Here is a 7,134-nt window from a genome sequence, read left to right as displayed (position 1 = left end):
CTATTTCCATGCCTTGAGAGGGTTTCACATATTAGCATTATTTGTCAGTGAGGATACAGGAAACAGTATGAAGAAAAAAGGTCCTGGTCACACAAAGCGTTTATCCTTTTCATAGTCTATTTTTTGAATGAAGATATTTTTCTTATTATATAGTGTTTTATCTCTTTGTTAAACATTCTTAGCAGCATACAGAAAAGCATGTCAGTAAAATTTGGAAATTTTGTTAAATCCTGACTCAGAGTGTGTAGCATCATTGAACGTTAGAACTTCAGAACTTCAAAGGTCCTGGAGATCACAAGCTTCAGAGATCATGGAGTCCATAGGATCATGGATTCCTATTTTGTAGATCAGAAAACTGAGGCTCAGGGAAATTAGTGACAGTGGAGGTGATAGCTCACTAGGGCCCGGGAGAGAAAACAGAGCTGGATAGGTTTGCTTTGTGAGTTCTCAGTGTCTTCTCATTGCAAACTGTCTTCAGTGTACCTTTAATTATTTTCTGAATAGACTAACGGCAGTTCAAAACCCTGCTCATTTTATAGCATTCCTTAGCTGTTAGTACTATTATAATGACCAAAAAAGAGAAAGAAAAATTGGGGCAAAAATGAACAACCTTGCAATTTATAAAACTGCAAAACATAACTGTTATAGGAAAGGGGTCCCAATCCAGACCCCAAGAGAGGGTTCTTGGATCTCCCACAAGAAGGAATTCAGGGTAAGTCCACAGTGCAAAGTGAAGGCAAGCTTATTAAGAAAGTAAAGGAATGAAAGAATGGCTACTCCTAGACAGAGAAGTCCTGAGGGCTGCTGGTTGCCCATTTTTAGGACTATTTCTTGAAGATCTGCTAAGCAAGGGGTGGGTTATTCATGCCTCCCCTTTTTGGACCATATAGGGTAACTTCTTGATGTTGCCATGGCATTTGTAAACTGTCATGGCTCTGGTGGGAGTGTAGCAGTGCGGATGACCAGAGGTCACCCTCATTGCCATTTGTGTTTTGGTGGGTTTTGGCTGGCTCCTTTATTGCAACCTATTTTAATGGCAACAAAAGCCAAAATTGACAAATGGGATCTAATTAAACTAAAGAGCTTCTGCACAGCAAAAGAAACTACCATCAGAGTGAACAGGCAACTCACAAAATGGGAGAAAATTTTCGCAACCTACTCATCTGACAAAGGGCTAATATCCAGAATCTACAATGAACTCAAACAAATTTACAAGAAAAAAACAAACAACCCCATCAAAAAGTGGGCGAAGGTATCAACAAGGTCTTTATGACCTGAATTTTGTGCTGACCTCCTATCTCATCCTGTGACTTAGAATGCCTCAACCATTTGGGAATGCAGCCCAGTAGATTTCAGCCTCATTTTACCCACTTCCTGTTTAAGATGGAGTTGCTCTGGTTCACATGCCTCTGACATAACCACCTAACATTTGAAAAGTGTGTCATATTTTATTAAAATATTGTGTTGCATTGAAATACAGTCATTGCGCAAGGATGCAGCATCATTTACTTTCTCCGGCTTTAATGTGTTGGAACAAGCCAAGCACATCCCTTGGTGCCCACCTCTTCCTCCATCCCCCAACATGTCACTTGCAAATGAATTGTACACCTAACATTTGCTTTGTGCAAGGAATTTTAAACCCAGGAAACAATACAGTATGTTTTAGTATATTATAGCAATAGGCTTCAAGTTTAATGAGCTTTGGGTCTAAATGTAGCAATTAGGAAGTCTCTTCAAGCTTATAAAATGAGATTCTACCCAAGTTTATAAGCAGGTACAATAACACTTGGAATGTAACTGTGTCAGGTATCTGAGAGGCTTTTTTCGAGCATATGTAGAACAAATTGCCTACGTAATACTCCTCCTTCCTTCCCAGTGTTTTGTTCCACAAACACTGACACTGGAACAAAATGTCCCTATCTGACAGGTATTGCAACATTTTGGTAATTAGCTTAAAATACAGCTGATTTGTCCTCCTGCTGCCTTCCCCTATGGCAACCAGTATCTGAAAGCTTGTTTTAAAGCCATTCAACAAGCACAAAGAACCATACCTGTTGCATCTGATTTCCTCCCCATTAAATCAGGATGAAGAATTTAGTAAAAACTGCTTATGCACAGATACTCCAGTGACTGCATGGAAGATAAGACTGTGAGGCTGCTGGCATTTTCACCACTTCTAGCTGGTTGTCAGTGGCATCTTGGCTTTTCTCTCAATGGCAGTGAGCCAAATAGCCCAGTGACCTCGGCCTTTCACCTAAGGGTCCTTAGTGTACCAGACCTTTCCCCTGTAACAAAGCCCATTGCTACTTTTGTAACCATGGTGGACGCTATCGGTTGGCTATTCAACTGACCTTCACAGCCCCCATCTTCCTTAAGGTTGAAATAGGCAGTTACTTGTATTCTCTCAGCCTCCCTTGCTGCCAGGCAGTCATGTGACACAGGTCTAAACAATGACACATAAGGTAAGGTGTATTGAGGTGCTTCTGGGAAACCTCTTCTTCCTTAATGGAGAAGTGGTTTGACACCGTAAGGGCTCTGGAGCTGAACTGCCAGAGTTTAAGTCCCAGTTCTATCACTTCTTGCCTGTGTCATACTGAGAAAGTTAATTCTGCTTTTTATGCTTTGTTTTTTTTAATCGGCTGTAGAATTAAAACCTACAAAGTGCTCAGGATAGCACCTGACATAAAGTAAATGCCGAGAAAATGTTAGTTACTATTATAGTTAATAAAAAAAAAAAAAGGCATGTGATGAGCATTCTGCTTCCTGCTTTTGGAAACGGCTTTGTGAGGTTAGGATGCCTGGAGTTATGGCAACCATTTTGTGACCAAAAGGGGACCTGGGACTGCCTAGCTCAAGATTTTCTTAAGTAAACGAACTATAGATATAGTGGATTTTCTGTTACTAGCTGCAGGACAATCCCATCTAATATATATATATATATATATATATGTATATATATATGTATATATGTATACACACACACATATAAAAATTATATAGAAGCAGGAAGCAGAATGCTCATCACATGCCTTCTTTCATATATATATGTATATATACACACATATATACATATATACACACATATACATATATACACACATATATACATATATACACATATATACATATATATACACATATATACGTATATATACACATATATACATATATACATATATATACATATATACACACATATATATACATATATATGAAAAATATATATATAATATATATTTTTTTGTGAGACAAGGTCTCACTCTGTCACCCAAGATAGGGTATGGTGGCATGCTCACAGCTCACTGCAGTCTCCACCTCCTGGGCTCAGGTGATCCTCCACCTCAGCCTCCCAAGTAGCTGGGACTACAGTGTGAGCCACCACGCCCAGCTAATTTTTACTTTTTGTAGAGATGAGGTCTCACTATGTTGCCCAGGCTGGTCTCAAACTCCTGGATTCATGTGATCCTTCCGCCTCAGCCTCCTAAAGTGCTGGGGTAATAGGCGTGAGCCACTGCACTCAGCCATCTTGTCCTTATTAAGCCAGGGTTTAAGCCCTGCCTTCTCTGGTTCTAGCTGCTCTGTTGGCTTTGTTCACCATGTACTGCTTCCTCCTCTAGTAGAGATGAGATGCTCCCTCCTAAGAGGCTCAGACTGATTTTCTTTAATCTGTCCTGGGAGCATTCTTAAATAGACTGTGGGCCTAATAGCAGCCTCATGTGTGGAAATCAGGACTTAATGGGGGGAGGGTGTGTAATTAAGCCCTCGTCCTACTTCAACTGAGCAGGATCTAGTTCTGCAGGCCTTCCTGGCTCCCATAGGGCTGGCTGCAGTATGTAAACATCTTATGGGAGGCAGGGGTCCCAATCTGGCTGCTACTGGGATCTCTCTGAGAGAGGAGAAAGAAAGAAACTGGTCAAGAAGGGAGTTAGGGTGAGTCCTCAGTTGAATTCTTTCAAACAAAAGAACAGCCTGAAAACTCAAGCTGCAGGCACAGATAAGGGAACGTGCACAGGGTGGGGGGCTTACCTAAGATATGTCCACAGCTGCACAGATAAGAAAGGCTACACAGGTGACTTGCCCAGACATGCCCGCAATGGAAAAATCCTGTCCTCTAGCACATGCTCAGTAAAGGGAACAAAGCAGTATGGAGTAACTCAAGCTAAGGGCCCACATGCGCACTAGAATGACAGGGTGGAGCTACCAGAAATCTGTGCCTTATGCAAATGAGACACCCAGCCCTCAACAGTTTCTTGTAAAAGCCTTTACATTGAACTGTAAAAGCAGCAACCTTCTTCCGGGCTCTATCGCTGAGGCGGAGAGCTTTCTTCTTTCACTTATGAAACTTTTGCTCCAACCTCACCCTTTGTGTCCACGCTCCTTAATTCTCTTGGTTGTGAGACAAAGAACTCCGGGTGATACCTCACAATGAGAGACTGCTAAATTGTTGTGCATTGGCGAGACTATAACATCTTCAACCTCCAGGTGCCATAGCACAGAGGCTCTGCTGGGAATCCAAGGCCACCATGTGAGGGTATGGAGGGGAGGATTGAGTGGCCCCTAAGGATCCCAAGTGCTTTCTTGCCAAGATCACAGCAAAGCTGCTCCACCTGTGCCCCCCAGTGCACTTCTGTTTCTTCTGGCAAAGTTTGTTCTCCATGCTTCTTTGTTTTCCAGATCATATCTGGGCAGACTGTTCTAAAAAATGTTGAAGACAATGATATTGTAGAATGACAGAGGAAGGAAGAATTATAAAAGTAGAAACTCTGGGACTCCCTTTTCTTTAGAAAATTGGCTTCTTGTTGGGTGCCTTACTTTTCTGTTTCTATATCCAACTTAGATGATAAGCCCCTAAGGATTTCTGTGGTTCTGTTCCTCACTGAAACCACTACAAAATTACAGTAAAAAATAAGGATAATGAAAAGAGGATCACTTCATAGCCTTCCTCGGTTCTGGAATTAAATCCAGCTCAGGTCAGGAATGAGCCATGAGATCCAGTAGTTTTCACCCATTATCAGACTTCAATAAAATTATTTTCAGTATTTCCAATGTAGACCTGTAGATGGTTTTCTATCATATAAAATTCAGAATGACAAAGAAGGTTATCTAGAGAAATTTAGAAGAAAGAAAGATACATTCACCTATTGCCTGAATCAGTTTTTATTTTTTAAGCATATCAATGTATTTATTATTTAGCTAAACACCCACATGATGTCGCATGTAAGGATCAGCACATTGCCATGGGCCCCATTCTCAGAAGAGAATGGACCCTTCTGGGGTCCAAGCTGACATGAATAATTTAGGTTATTAGGGTGCTGGTTAATGAATTGTCCCAATGTTTGGGCACCCTATGTCCCTGCTAACTCCCTGGCAGGGCTTCCTTGAGAGAACAGTTTAACTCAATGTACTTAATAGATATATTTCCATGTACTATGAGATGACTCAGGGCTGGACAGTAACCTGGGTTTTTAGAACAATAAGAAAGAAAAATGGAAGCTCGTCGGTGGCTTTTCCAGCCCACAGTGTTAGCCTTGCCTAAGCCCTCTCTCCAGCTAAACAACCGTTTTCCCCCCAGTGCTTCCTGAGTCCTTATTCCTTTTACTGAGAAGCCAGAAAAAGAGGTCAGCGCAAACGGGTGCTGAAAAGAAAAAAATCCTGGCTCTCTTTTAACCAAGAAAAGCAGAGCCTTTCTGAATTCTGGCTCTGACACAGAAAAGCCCTGTCTCTAAGTCCCTGCTCGTGATGATTGCCTGGGGACTTGTCAGAAAAGTATTCTGGCTGATATTAACTGCCACGATCACGTATCCCGGGAGAAACACTTTCAAAGAACCCAGAGCCAGCTTTTTGGAAGCAAGTAGGCCAAGCAGCCTACTATACATCAAGTTTAAGTGAGAACATTTCTGTAAAAAGACTTTAAGACCTGCAAAGTCTTAGGTGTGTGCCTCGTACTGTGCCCAGCCCTCGAGCACTGAATGTAGAAGAAAACTCAGAAGACACGCTTCCTACCCTCCTCACTCCCTCCTAGAGCTTAGATTCTGGGAGACAGACAGGATCATTCTGTGCAAAATAATTAAACAATTAAATGTTTGACTGTGTGGCTGTAAGTAGAGTTATGCCAGGTGGCCATGAGAGACCACTGGGACTGAACTTGTCAAGAGATGGTTTGTGGAGAAGCCACAACCCCCATGGCTGGTGTTCTGTCAGGGAGATCACAAATTGGAAAGGATCAAGATGGGGCAACTTGTTTTATACACAAGGGATATCCATGTGGGTCAGGAATGCAATCAGACAACTTGTGTTGGTTTGACTCAAATTTTGAACTTAGTTCAAGATATGATTTATAGCTTCAAACACTTACCTACAAACACAAAGACACCAACAAAACAATTTGATTATTTAAAATAAACAATTGAGAGCTGGTTTAACTATAGCATGTGGGCTCATAAGAACTAATACGTTTGAGGTTCTTTTCACTATGAAGATGACAAGTCAGGACTTTAGTTTTCAGGAAACAAACATTTATAGCTTTGGTCACCTTCTTGCTAGAGAAACAATAGGAGGAGGGGCTGAATTCATTCCATCCATGTCTTTCACTTTGTCTCGATTTCTAAAGTAGTGAATGAGTTTTTAAGCAGCAGTTGCTGAATTCTTCTTTGCTTTGTCCTGACATGCAGACAATCTAAGAGGAAAATCAAGTCAGGGAAGTATTTAGAGAAGAATGCTGATGCCTGCAATTTGCTTTGAAATCGATAAAAAGATGGATTATTGGGTAAAGGGATGGATAGATATGTAGATATGTGACAAAGCAAGTATAGTAACATATTAATGATACATATAAGGCTGTGCATGTAAAATTATTTTAATTTCCAAATTTACTACAAAAAATATCATAATACTATGGTGGGAAAAAACTGAATCAGGGTTTTCTTTGTGTTGCCCTTTCTTCTAATAGTTAAAAATCATTATCTGAAAGGACACATAAATAAAAAAGCTTGGACTAAGTCCTAGACATAAATGAAAAGTAATAATTGTGTGTGTTATGTGTTTAAAGAACCCTCAAATCTATCTCTACTAGCCAACTGTTGATGCTAGGTATTCTGCTATTAGAAACACAGTCTTTTGAGCTAAGGGCTTATT

General features: G+C 40.7%; 1 annotated feature.

Annotated features, from left to right (window-relative positions):
* Window positions 3,712-4,911: an enhancer, noted in NCBI's record as "MED14-independent group 3 enhancer chr14:32489479-32490678 (GRCh37/hg19 assembly coordinates)". NCBI's record gives its function as "activates an origin of replication core promoter dependent on BRD2, BRD4, P300/CBP and CDK7 cofactors, and independent of MED14, by STARR-seq in HCT116 cells {active_cell/tissue: HCT116}" and the evidence as "EXISTENCE:reporter gene assay evidence [ECO:0000049][PMID:35650434]".

Source organism: Homo sapiens, chromosome 14 (assembly GCF_000001405.40).
Source record: "Homo sapiens chromosome 14, GRCh38.p14 Primary Assembly".
Taxonomy (NCBI): Eukaryota; Metazoa; Chordata; class Mammalia; order Primates; family Hominidae; genus Homo; species Homo sapiens.
This window is presented reverse-complemented; position numbering and strand designations above follow the sequence as displayed.